This window comes from Homo sapiens, chromosome 11 (assembly GCF_000001405.40).
Source record: "Homo sapiens chromosome 11, GRCh38.p14 Primary Assembly".
Classification (NCBI taxonomy): Eukaryota; Metazoa; Chordata; class Mammalia; order Primates; family Hominidae; genus Homo; species Homo sapiens.
In genome coordinates, this window is record NC_000011.10 from 8,347,238 (window position 1) to 8,360,211 (window position 12,974).

At 53.8% G+C, this 12,974-nt stretch overlaps 1 protein-coding gene across 2 annotated transcripts in view, besides 2 other annotated features; it reads right to left on the reverse strand.

Moving 5' to 3' along the window:
- Nucleotides 1-12,974, reverse strand: part of STK33 (serine/threonine kinase 33) — a 259,405-nt gene that overhangs the window by 12,414 nt on the left and 234,017 nt on the right. The gene's annotated exons all lie outside the window — the stretch shown is intronic.
- Nucleotides 4,489-4,988: an enhancer, noted in NCBI's record as "H3K4me1 hESC enhancer chr11:8373273-8373772 (GRCh37/hg19 assembly coordinates)". NCBI's record gives its function as "activates a minimal SCP1, AML or CMV promoter by ChIP-STARR-seq in primed H9 embryonic stem cells {active_cell/tissue: H9 hESC(primed)}" and the evidence as "EXISTENCE:reporter gene assay evidence [ECO:0000049][PMID:30033119]".
- Nucleotides 7,288-7,357: an enhancer, noted in NCBI's record as "active region_4384". NCBI's record gives its function as "activates an Ori minimal core promoter by ATAC-STARR-seq in GM12878 lymphoblastoid cells {active_cell/tissue: GM12878}" and the evidence as "EXISTENCE:reporter gene assay evidence [ECO:0000049][PMID:35858748]".

A 12,974-nucleotide genomic window follows, 5' to 3' on the forward strand; every position in this document is an offset into this window, starting at 1 on the left:
AAGGACATCCGGCCTACTGCTGCCTTTTGGGCTTCACTGGTCTCAGACAGCGTGGCTGGACCAGCTCCCGGTGCCCACTTAGGTGCTGAGTCCTTGAAACCCTGTTCTGGCCTCTGGTCATGAAGTCTGCATCAGCCACATATAAACTAGGTGATGCTGTGATTGATAACAAACGCTCCCCAAATCTCAGTGATGGGCAACAAAGGTTTATTTCTTGCTTGTGTTACATGTCATCACAAGTCAGTGGTGGGCTCTGTTCCCTATCAACACTCCAGGATCCGGGCTGAGGAAGCAGCCACTGTCTGGAGCATTGCTGGTGACTACAGCCGAGAGAAACGAGCGCTATGGAGGGTTTCACATCAGCGGTTCAATGTTCTGCCCTGGAAATGGCACAAGCCATTTCTTATCACAGCACACTGGCCAGAACTAGTCATGTGGCCCCACCATTGAGCCAGAAGCTCAGTCTTGCCCTGAGTCAGGAAGGGGAGTGAAACTGCAATACCTGACCAACAGCACAAGCCTCTAATATCTGACCTGACCCCAGACCTATCTGAATCCACCCTCACTCTTCTCTCCCCAGGACCCCTTCAAGGGTCTAGAAACATTTAAGTGCTTTCTCTCCACTGTGGCGGAAGGGGCAGAGGCCCTGCAAGGCTGCCCCTTGGCTCACCCACCTTCCCCTGCCATTTCTAAACCACTGCCTGGATGGTGCATCCTGCCTAACACCTGTAGACCCAGAGCTTTGTTAAGGAGCTGGTCTTGTTCCCGGTCTAGTCCCTGAGAGGAGAAGAGACAATGCCTCCCACTGGGAAGGCCCCAACCCCATCTGGGTGACTGACTCTATTTCCCCTGTGCTTGAACACCAGGGGGCAACCAGGACTGCAACAGCTGACCCCTCACCTCTTTTCCTGCTGCATTTTAGTGGCTCAGATCCCTCCACTTCCTCTTCCTGCAAGGGGGAACTTCCCCTGTGTTGTATCCTCTGTATTAGTCCATTCTCATGCTGCTAATAAAGACATACCTGAGACTGGGTAATTTATAAAGGAAAGAGGCTTAATTGACTCACAGTTCTGCAGGGCTGCAGACACCTCAGGAGACTTACAATCTTGGCGGAAGGGGAAGCAAACATGTCCTTCTTCACAAGGTGGCAGGAGAGAGAAGAATGAGAGCCAAGCGAAAGGGGAAGCCCCTTATAAAACCATCAGGATCTCGTGAGAACTCACTCACTATCAGGAGAACAGCAGCATGAGGGTAACTGCCCCCATGATTTTATTACCTCCCATCAGATACCTCCCATGATACGTGGGGATTATGGGAACTACAATTCAAGATGAGATTTGGGTGGGGATAGAGCCAAACCATCTCATCCTCCATTCTCCTTATGCTGGGGCTTACAGTAAAACTCTAAGTCCACCAGGCTTGACTCAGTTGTGTAAAAGGAGCTTTAGGAACTTAGAAAACCTTCTCTGTCTCCACTAAGCCTGATTCTTGATGTGTCTGTTCCACTGTGGACACAGCCCTGTTTTGGAAGTCTGCACGTTGAGTCTGCCTCTCTTTGCCTTCCTGCTTCAATAACCCTGAGCATCCCTGAAACAGTGGTGCCTCTGGCTGAGTGAAAAGGGTTGGAGAGCACTTAAGAAACTGGAAAAAAAAAATCACATGACATTATTTTTAAAATATCATTTCTTCAACTTTGGTTTGAATTGTACCAGGTGTCTGACCTTGAGTAAGTCACCTAACCCAGCATCTAGAGCTTCCACTGATGGAGCCTCAGTCCAGGCTGGCTCCGTGCCCAGCTGTGGAGCACCCTTTCTCTGCAGAGGAGCTCTCCAGAGCTGCCTCCCACCGCCAGCTCCCTCTGTTCTCTGGCTGATCCCACGGGTCATTTCCACTTCTAGCTGTGTGACCTTAGACATGTTGGTTGACTTTGCCAAGACTCCATTGCTTCACCTGTAAACTGGGGGCAGTAATAGCCTCTTTCTCTTAGGACTGTTGTATTAAATAAAACCCTTGAAGCAGTGTCTGATATCATATAAGTGCCATGCAAGTGTTAGCTACTATGATTATTGTTATTTTCCCATTTTTTCCCTTCCTGGAGAACCCTTTGTGCCCTGAAGCCTTTTATCCCAGTACCCAGGCCTGCCTAGTATAGAGTTAGTTCGTTCCTGCTTCATCTCTGGCTGGCTGCCTCTCAGTCATCCCAGGCCTCACATGCAGGGCCCACGCTCAGAATCATCACAGGGGCTCTGGGAGTCCTCTGCCCCAGTACCCTCATGTCCCCTTTACCATTTCTGTGAGCTCCTCCCCACCTTTGAGGTGAATGTGCCTCTGACCACCTCACATTCAATTCTCTGGATGACTTCTCTGGAACTGCTGAGCCAGTTGTCTGGAGTTGACATCCCTGGGGTGGCCTTGGCCAATGACCAAGGGCTGGAGTGTGAAAGCCCAGCTCCCTTGCCCCCAGTCGGGACAATTAGGAAGCATGATCATGTCCCAGAGCTCCCCATGCAGGATGAGACTGATGCTACCCTCGAGGGGACTGAAACTGTCTGGAGTCTTCCCTCCACCACACTCCTCCCACCCCACACCAGCTTGGCTTCTTCCCCTTCTCTGTCCTTCACCCACTCCTTATAGATTTCTCCTGGGAAACCCTCCTTCATAAATCATGTGCGTCCTCATCTCAGGATCTGTTTCAGAGGGCTCTGCCCTGAGACAACCAAGGCCCCACAGAGCTGCGATCATGCACAGGTTAGGCCAAGAGGATCAGCTGTTTCTGGAGAGCCTGCTGTGTGCGTTGCACTTCATATGCCTCATCTCACTTAATCCTAAAAGTGGCATTGCTCGATGGAACACATGAGTATCTCCATTTTATAGATAAGGAAACTGAAGTTTAGAACAGCCATGTGACTCACTTCTGAGGGCCATCGGTGGCTCTGTGGTGGCAGACGATTTGGATCCAGGACTGTGGGACTCTGCAGCCTGTGCCTTCTACACCCACGCTGGGATGCAGGGGCAGGAGCAGGGCCCAGACTCCCAGAGCAGGAGGCCAGGCAGTTAGCGCAAGGGCAGAGCAAGAGCCTTTATGGAGAAATTGAGGGGAGAGCAACATAGAAAGAGCTCAAAGTGCACCCGAGGTGGAGAGGCAGACCCCAGCCAACAAATGAGGCTAGGAACAGGCTGAGCTAAGCCAGCTGAGAAGCATCGGATGCCCCCGCCCTGCCCCACACTGACACACACCCTCTGGGGCACACAACAGGGAAGCTCAGGGGGTGACAGCTCACATCTCACCTTCCCGTGCAGGGACTTTGGTCTCCCCCATGCCACTCTTCTGGTGCCAGCCACCCTCATCTTGCACTAGAAGGCTCTGAAAATGGCTCTGGCCTTCAGGGAGAGAGGGATAGGCAGGAAAGTGGGGGTCAGGAAGGGGAAAGGAAGGACAGGAGTGGCCAGCCCATCACAGAGGAACCTGCACCAGAATGAGGGACAGTGTTTGCAGCTAAGTGGCAGGTGTGGGCTGGTATGTGCCTGCAGGCAGAGAGGGGAAGAGACAAGGGAAGCTGGAGAATTACTGTCCTTTAGAAATGGCACATGCTGTCCACCCTGTAGCCACGGAAGTGACTGGGACCTTCAGTTTCAAGCCCTTCCGCAGAGTCACCAGCCCCCAGCATACCTTGCTGCAGAAAACGGTTGGGATAGAAGAGGGCCCTGGAACAATGACAGGGATAAGAAAGCTCAGAACTCCAGGTTGGAAACAAGGGGAGGAAACCCCAGGTGTTCCCTGAGCAGAAGCTGGCCCTGGGGATGGCTTGCCTGGTCCTGTCCTCCTCTCCTGGGGTCCCCAGATAGGACAACTAACTACCCCTTAAATGAAGAGCCCCAGCATCCTGACACACCCATAACCTCCAACAAAACACCTCCCCCCGAAACCAAACGCCAATTCTATTCCCTAGTCCTGACAATTCTACTAAATCCAGCTGGAAGCCTTATTTGACCCCTGACCTGAATCTGGCCTTACCCAAAAACCCACTCTGACTGGCCTCAAACCAAACCATAAACCTTACCCACCCCTACCTCTACTTTTAATGTCTCCCCACCCTGCGAGCTGGGTCCTGACCCCAGTCCACACTTACTGTGGCATACACGTGTCCAGGGCTGTGGCTTCATCAGGACCCGGTGGCCATCAGCCTCTGCCCGCCCCACCATGAGGGCCACAGGGGACCCCTTAGGGCAGCCGGGGCTCTGCATGGTTCTGGCCGTCCCTGCACGGGTGATGGATGAGCTCTGGTGTTATCAGCACCACAGGAGGGAGTCACCAATTTCCCTGCCTGTCACTTCACCATAATTTCTAAAGCACAAGAGGCTGATTCCATCTCTCGACACCATTTGACTCTGTTCCCTGCTCTGGCAGGCCTTCTCGGGGCAGGCCCCAGCAGGGATGCTGGGTGTGGGAGCGTCGTCCGGAGGTGGACAGGTGCACGCTTCAGCGCTTATATGTTCTGCTGCTGTCCTAAAAGACAGATGCCATGCCTGGTCCATTCCACCTCGGCCTCGCACTCCTGGCTCACCTGAGACCTGGATACCACCACGAGCTCCTCCATCCCCTTGGAGCTGATGGAAGAAGGTTAGGCACACACCATGAGGGCTCCCCGCCCAGGGGCCGTGCCTTCAGCCCCGCTGGAAAATGAGAGAAACCCTAAAATCCTCAGCGGCGCTCACGGTCGGAGGACTGAGATCTTCCCATACCAGCAGGAGAAATACCAGCAGGGCCTGACGTGGCCTCTGTCCCATCACCTTCCCCATTGCAACTGTCCCAACAAATAAGCACGAGCTGCCTCTACTGCCGTCAAAGCATCCCCTGGGCAGTGGGCAAAGCTGGTGGGTGGTGGCTGTGTGACCCATTTTAAAGCCAGGCAGTGGTTTGGGGGAAAAGGAGTTTAGAAATAAGCCAGCAGGTGCCCGGGAGGAGAGATGCTGTGGCCAGAGCCTAGCAGGATGACCCCCCAGGTAAATGAAAACATTGAAGGCACAGTGTGCCTTGAAGACTGATGCTACCATGGACAGAGCTCTAGGGTTTCAGCCCTGAACTCAAAAGCAGAACCTGCCAAAAGGAGTAGGAGAGGGTTTCCCAGGACTGTGGTATTGTCTGGGGGTGGCAGCCCCAAGGGGCTCAGTGAGTGTTAGAGCTTCCTCACCCTCCAAGGTCCACAGCCTCAGGACAGGCTCTCCTAGGGGCCAGCATCTGGAGAGACCAGGTGCTCCAGGGTGTTATAATGGAGAGGGCAGCAGGGGTGTCGATCAGAATATTTTAGTCCAATATAAGAAAAAATTTCCAACCATCACAGCATCCAGTGTAAAAGAAAATCTAAAAAGAAGACATCACATCAAGTCTCTGATTGTTTGTGCGCTTTGAAGACTGCCTGTAAAACTGCCTCAGTAATTAAGTAGAATGACTCCATTTTGCCACATAAGTATGGTTATGGCTCCTGGGTGGCTGCAATTAATATAAAAGCAGATTAAGGAAGCCATCATCAAGGCGTAATGAGTTTTTAAATATTAATTAATATGTTAATAACCATTCTAGGTTAAGAGTGAGGTTTTGGTGCTGCTAGAGATTATTTCTGCCAGGGACCCAGGAATGCCTGCATCCTGCCCCCATACCACCACTCTTCCAGTGGGGTTCCAGAGGGAGCGGCAGCAGAACAGAAATCAGAGCCCAGGCTCATGAGCACCCGTGCTGTGTGAATGCCCACGGCCCTGGCCCCGCGTGCTGCTAGCTGACGGGAACATGGACCAGCGGCTTGAGGTCCTCAGCAGGGTCTTTCACTCCCTAGATCTACCTGTGGCATCAGCACATCCAGGTGGGCCTGGAGGACACAGAGAAACCCCACGAGAGGTTCTGAGCCCACATATCCTCCCAGGCCATGGAACCAGAAGGGATGAGAGGAGAGGAGCAGAGGAGAGATGACCTCAGGACCCAGGGCTCACACCCTTCCTGGGTCAGCAAGAAGCCACGAACCTGAGTTGGTGCCGGCTAAGCCTGTGGCCACACCCAGTCAATAGCTTGGGTTCTGACTAAGCAGCTTGGCAAAGCCCTCCTTTGAAGGAAGCTGGGAGCAGTTGTCAAAGCGTCCTTTTGTCTCTAGTCACCCGGTTTTGTCTCTCTTGACTTTCTGATCTGTCTCACAGAAGCATAGCTGCCTCCCTTGGGGGACAATCAGCAGCCCATCCACACAGCTCCGTTTCTAGTTCCACTGATACCTACTAGAGCAGCTGCAGTCCCCAAACCTGCTGAAATCGGTTAGAACAGGACATTATTAATGGACTCCAAGGCCACCTAGACATTTAAGCCAAAAATGTGCCACCACCCCCTCCTCTTTCCCCACCTTAAGTTACAACCAGTCCATGTCCAAAATTCTCCCTTCCCCATTGTTTTTCGGCTGTCTCAAATAGAGGGGGTCTTCCTCGGAGGAGGCCTGGGGGAGTGTGGGGTGCCTTTTACCCTTGCAGCCTGGATGGAATTCTTCTGTCATTTTCAAGGTTGTTTTGAGTGAACTTAAAGTCTCTCATCTGTGCCATTCTTCCTAAAACTGCATATAAAACAGCCACAGCCCCAGATCCAGGCCATTTGGAACCAAATGTGACCACTCTAGCAGTGGCATTCCCAGGGTGGGATGAAGGTCTGGAATTTCTGTTGGCAGCCATGGGCCACAGCTGGGTGGTTAGAGCCTGGGGACAAGGGTCAGGTTTCATTGCCACCTCTGGCCCTATGTGACATTCATCAAATCAGTTTCCCCTTCTGCAGACTGGGCACGAGTGTCCTGCCCTGCTTGCTTTGCAGAGCCACGGAGATAAACCCAGAGGAATCACTTTGCAAACTGCAAGGTGAGCCGCCAAGATGAGAACACTATGTTACCCACCGTGTCTCCTCCTCTCCTCCTTGCTCTTTCTCCACATGAAACAGCTCCAGGGACGAGGTGGCATCAGTTAGGAGAAACCCCTGCCAGGCCCGGCCGGAACTGCCTCCCAGAATCCTCCCATCCCTACCCCACCTCCGCTCTCACCCTCATTTCCCTTCCTCATTCCTCCTCATCCTATTTCCCCAGATAAAATATCCTATCCTAAGGTACAGTCCTAAGGGCATCCAGGTGTCCTAGGTTGAAGGCAGGTGCTCATACTCAGAGCTAGAAGCCTAATTCCCTAGCAGATCAACATTCCAGAGTACAAGTCTGCAAAACCTCACACACACACACACACACACACACACACACACACACACACACCCCTCAGACACCCCACATCATGCTCAGCCCCACCCAGCTCAAGCACAGGTCTAGGAAGCAACTGGGGAGGTGACTTGAACATCCTCTCCCAGAAACCATCCAGGTACACTTCCACCCAGGGGCATGAAGAAAGTCCAGAATGCTGTGAACACAGAGCTGCCACCTTCTGTTCAGATGGTTTCAAACTTGCAGGGACAAAGGGCTGAGCTCCCTGAGGAGCAGCAGCTGGGGCTGGGGAAGCAAGAGGAGTGCTGCAAGACTTGCGGGCAAGCCCACATCAATTAGGCTCTGATTAGAGGAGGGGGCCAGGTGGGTTGCTGGCTGGGCGCCGGCCCCTCCGCGGCTGAAGCTGAGCTTCCGTAATTGGAAGCCCAGCCTGGCAGGGCTGGGCACAGACTTCATGCCGAGAGAGAAGCCAGCCAGGCGCAGCCTGAATGCTTCTGTTTCTGATCTCTTCTTGCAGAAAAAAAGAGCAAAGCTGCTGGAGCTGCCTGGCCTCCAGCTTCCGGGAGGAGGGGAACGACGGGTTCAAGCAGCGGCCGCTGCCTGCTAATTGCGGCTTCTGAGGCTTGAACAAGGGCTGCAGAGGCAGGTGTGAGGGTGGGGCTTTTCCCATCAACTTTCCCACAGAGACCCTTCCCATGCTGCCCTCACCAGGCAGTCAGTACTCTGAGGCCTGGAGGGTGCCAGGGAGAAGATTCCCAAAGGTTTTAGCCTCAAAGTTCTACCCCAAGCTGGGCAGGCCACATGCACTGAGTATGGGGTGACTGATAACCACAGAGGTTAATACGGCACACCTGACTGTTGTGCATGGAAATGTGGCTGGTCTGACTGAGGAATCAAATCTGTCATTTCATTTATTTCAATAGCCACATGGGGTTAGTGGCTACGGTACTGGACGGCTCTAGGTCGAAGTGAGGAGATGCTGCCCAGATTTCCCACTGGGTCGCACAACTGGTGCCCAGCTGGGTGAGACCTGGAGGAATGACTTGGCTGTCCTCTGACCCTGTCCTCTCCATCTACAAAAACGGGGTGTTCCTTCCTCTCCTTGTCCAGCCTGAGCAGCAGCTCCAGGCCCGCCCTTCCAGGTGCAGTCAGGGATTGAGGCCAGCAGCACAGCCTCTGGGGCCAGGTGGACTGGCTTTCACATCTTGCTCTGCCACTTACCAACAGGCCACTAAGCTTTTCTGAACCTCCACTTCCTCATCTGTAGAATGGGGATGATAAATACTAATACTATCCACTGAGGGTTACTGAGAGGGTTGAACGAGTGAGTACACAAGGTGCTTAGACCAGTGCCTGGCATGTCGGAAGCGCTTCGTAAATGGTAGCTTTTGTTGCTGTCACCATCACCATCACCATCATCATCACAGTTGGCATGCAACAAACAGCAGCCACATGGAGAAGGAGTGCTGATAGGTCTGTTCTGCAGTGAGGCTGCAGACCTGACAAATGGAGTTTGAGCCAGGAGCTTCTCCTTGAGTAACAGGGAGTAAAAGCTGACGGGAAAGAAACCAAACGCCGTTCTACCCCGTAACAGGGGGTGCAGGGGTGGGGAGCTGGGGACGGAGGATTACACTTTGCTAACTGAGGAAGTACATCCTTTCAGAGCACAGATTCAGATCTAACAGTTGCTGAAAATTGAGTGGGACTTACAGGAGGTGTGCAGGAATCTGCCCGTTAGTTACAGGTATGAAGCTCACCCCAGTGGGAACAGAGACAGGGAAATCCACCCAGGAGCATCCACGTCCACCTTTGACTGTGAGCCTGGAGCTCTTCCTGCCCACAGCAGTCCTGTGAGACCCAGGTGGCACTGGGCCTTAGGGGAAGGGGCTGTGGAGGGGGAGAAGAAGGAGTGGGGGCCTCAAACTCCTCCAAAGTGACTGGCTGACAGGGGACCCTGCCCTGCGAGGGAGGACCGACGGCTCGCCACTGTCATCCTTTCCTGCGGACAGTGGTGAGGTTTTCGTGGGAGAGGTGGGTGGGATGTCAGACAGGGAGGTTTAAAGAAGACCAGTGGTGGGGGCGTGGGGGGACCTTAGGGCTGATGGGGGCAGATTTGGAGCATGAGGGCACCCAGGAAGAAGCAGTTCCTATAAAGGATCAACAGTATCAGGGACATGCCTGGGAGGCTCTGGAGAGCCTGTAAACTTTCCCTCTGTCCATAGCAATTCCTGCCAATTCCGGCTGGGGCATCTGAGGAGCCGGAAGACCCTCATCTCCGCTGGCTTTGGGAAACAGGGACACCAGCTGTCAGATAGCTGGACCGTGACTCATGGCTCTCAGCAGTGGTGACTGTCTATGGAGGTCCAAGGCCCTTGGTGGAGCTGAGAGCACTCCGCATGACCCCCAATGCCAGGGGAGCACTCTGGAGCTGACTGTGCAAGAGAGACAGGAGCCTGACCCCAAGTTGGCCCTGAGCTAGAGGAAGCCGTCCCTGAAGTGGGGCGGGGCCCACACAGCTGGACTGCATTAAATGAAGGTGGAGGCGCTGCCCCGCAGTTGTGCAGCCTGAGGTCCTGGGTGCCCAAGCCCCAGCTGTCTCCCTCCTTCCCGGCCTGCCCTCTTCCCTCCTCCCGGCAGGGCTGTCATCAGACTCATTGGCTCCCAAGTTCTGAAATGAACTCTGCTCCAAGTAATTACAGCTCTTCAAGTTTCCCGTCCTCTGTTTAAAGAATTCGTCCTCTTGCCCTCAATGCCCCATCGGCTCCCTAATTAGCAGCGCGCGGCGCGATTACACATTCTCTGCAGCTCGCTGGGTCCGGCCCCCGCAATGAGTGTTTGTGGACAGCTGGGAGCCCGCCCAGCAGCCCGCGGAGCCAGGAGTCAGGGCCCAGGAGTGCGAGCTGTCAGCTCCGTGATGGGGCTGGAGCTGGTCGCAGCCCCGCGGGCCTCCAGGAGGAAAGGCCTTGAAATATAAATGAAGATGAATATTCATATTTGGTTCAATAAGTGCCAACTATTAATATACATGTCTGTCGGGAAGAGGAGGCAGTGCAGAGCCAGTTGTGCCGGGCATAATTGGGCTCCTAATTCACAATTAGCCTTGAGCTCCAGGCCTCTGCACAGCCAGAACCTGGGCTCGGAACCGCGGGAGGGGCAGGAGCCTGCTGCAGGGAAGTCCCTGAACTCCCCAAGGGTCCTCCTGCCCTCACACCCCTCCCCACTAGGAGAAGGCTGGGGAAGAAGAGGAGGCCCACAGTCCCCCTCCAGGAATCCCCCAGGAATTGCAGCCTTCAGGTGCACCCTAGGGTCACCTTTGAGCCATGCAAACTGCTCCTGAAAACTGGAGTAGGGGAGCTCTACATGGGGCCACCAGCTCAGATGAGCTCACACCCAGTGTGTCACCAGAGCCCCACATTAGGAAATGTCTGAAGAGGTAAGACAACTGAAGCCAGAAAATTGCAGGTACTCAGCTCAGCTTGGCCACTATCGACTCTGAAGTTTGGTTTAACAGGGGCTTGCCTGTATGGCCAGAGTCTCTCTGGCCCCGCCTCCCCATACAGGCTCCTGGTGTCACTCAGCCTCTTTTCCTAGCTTGAGCTCAAAGCAGCCCTCTCTTGGTTCTCCAGACTCTGCCCACATGTCTTCTATTATGACACAGCTGCCACTGGGCCTTCTCCTGCACTTCCCCTACAAATCACCGGCTGCCCACCAGTGGCCGCAGAGCCGGGCTGAACCCTGCCCTCTCCTGGGACACCAGGGAAGACCACACTGGAAGACGTCAGGGTTTGAGGACTGGGGGAGTCCCAGCTTGGGGTGGGGGGGCATGTCTGAGCTCTAGAAATGAGCTGGGACCCCACCCTGCTCACACCTGAGGAAGCTGCATAGACTCCCTTAGCCAACAGCTCAGTCCGCCTCCAATGCATTGGTGAGTGGGGGCGCCTTGTGCCTGTGTGCTCAACCCAGATCTGTGCCAGCCAAGGGCAGGGGCTGAGGTCTGCCCTCCGGCCAAGGTCTAACCGTCAGGCTGGGAAATGAGCGCTCAAGATGCCGGCCTGAAAGAGTAGTCTTAAAGGCACTGCTACAGGGCGCCTGGAGGGTGAAGAGATGGTTGTAGAGGTCATCCAGGTACTCTTCCACCCGAGGAATGGCCAGGAACAGCTGGGACAGTGAGAGGGGGCGGGTGCTGCGACAAACCAGCCTGAAGGGGCTCCCACTGGCCAAATCTGGGGCAACGTGAACATCAAAATAAATAATGATAGTAGCAGTTTATAACCCATTGAAAGAAATAGGAAGCCATGAATCCATACTGACATAAATGAATAAATTGAAAATTTAATGAGGAATGGGATATTTACACAGTCTCGTAATACCTTCCCACATAGTTATTAATTACAAACAGAAAAAGAATAAATTTACAGTGGAGAGAAGGCTGGCAGATACCACCTTCCTCACGTGATCAAAGTGAGCATCAGCAATGGGACAGTCAAAACCCTGTGCCTCCCGACAAGAAGCGCGGGGATGAGCCCACAGTAACAGGCCTACCCAACACGCACAGCCTGCGTTGACCCTTGAGAAACGTTAGATAAACCCAGATTGAGGGACAGCCTGTCCAATACCGGCCTGTCATCACAAAGGCAATAAGGTCAGGAAAGACCAGGCACTATCCCAGATTGAGGGAGACAGAGGAACATGACAACTGAGTGAGATGTGTGACCCCAAAACTGGGTCCTTTTGCTCTAAAGGACATTGTTGGGATGCTTGGTGCATCTTGAGTGGGGCAGAAGACTGACTGCTAGTTATATGTCAGTGCTAATTTGCTGATTTTGCTGTGTTGAAGGAGAAGGTGTTGAGGGAAATGCATGCTGAAGTGTTTTCTTGATGGGCCCCACGTCATCACCCTGTGTTTTCAAATGGCTCAGGGAAAAAAGTTATGCGTATTGGACTTCCTACTTTTCTGTAAAGTTGAGGTTATTTCAAAGTAAATTTTAAAACGGCAGGGAGAGGTGCTGGTCTAAACTGAGGTCCAATGCTGGGGAAAACAGAAGCCCAGACCCCATGTCTTAACAGCATGATGCTGGGTGGTCCGGGCAAGGCTTGCTGAGCAGAGAGCCTCATAGGCCTGCGCGCCTCCTCAGTCACTTGCCTCCAGGTGGTGGGTGAGACAAGTGAGGATTTCTCTGGAGCGACCATGTAGAGCTGCTCTTCTCCCCTCCTCTCCCCCAGGGCCGGGACAGCACTGCCCTGCAATCAGAGAGAGGGGTTCTTGAGGGGATGTGGCCTGTGTCCCCTGAGTTCGGGGGCAAGGGCCTGACACTTTCCTGTGCAGTTGGCACAGGGGTGGTCTAGCAGAACTTGCCTGGGCAAAGGCAAGCATCCCCCTTAGCAGCAAGAGAAAGGCCATGGGGCTCCAGCTTTCTTAGAAGAAAGGAGACTTCCTGGTGAGGCATGGTGACTTCCAGAGGTGACCCCAACAGAAAGGGCATGCAGACACACCCAGGGTGGTAGTAAGGACAGTTAGCTGATGTTCCAGTGCTGTGGTCCAGGCTGGCTCAGCCCAAGCCTTGGCCTCCAGGGCTCACCCCTGCACAAGAGGACTGCTCTAGGACCTCAAAGCAGCCCCTGCCTCTTTGTCCCAGTCTGTTCCTGGCTGCTGCTAAGATGCAGGTATCTGTAAATTCAATTATTGCTGCGACTTGATGGTGGCATGACACCCTACAACTCCACAGTTTAGAGCAACATTGATTTGCC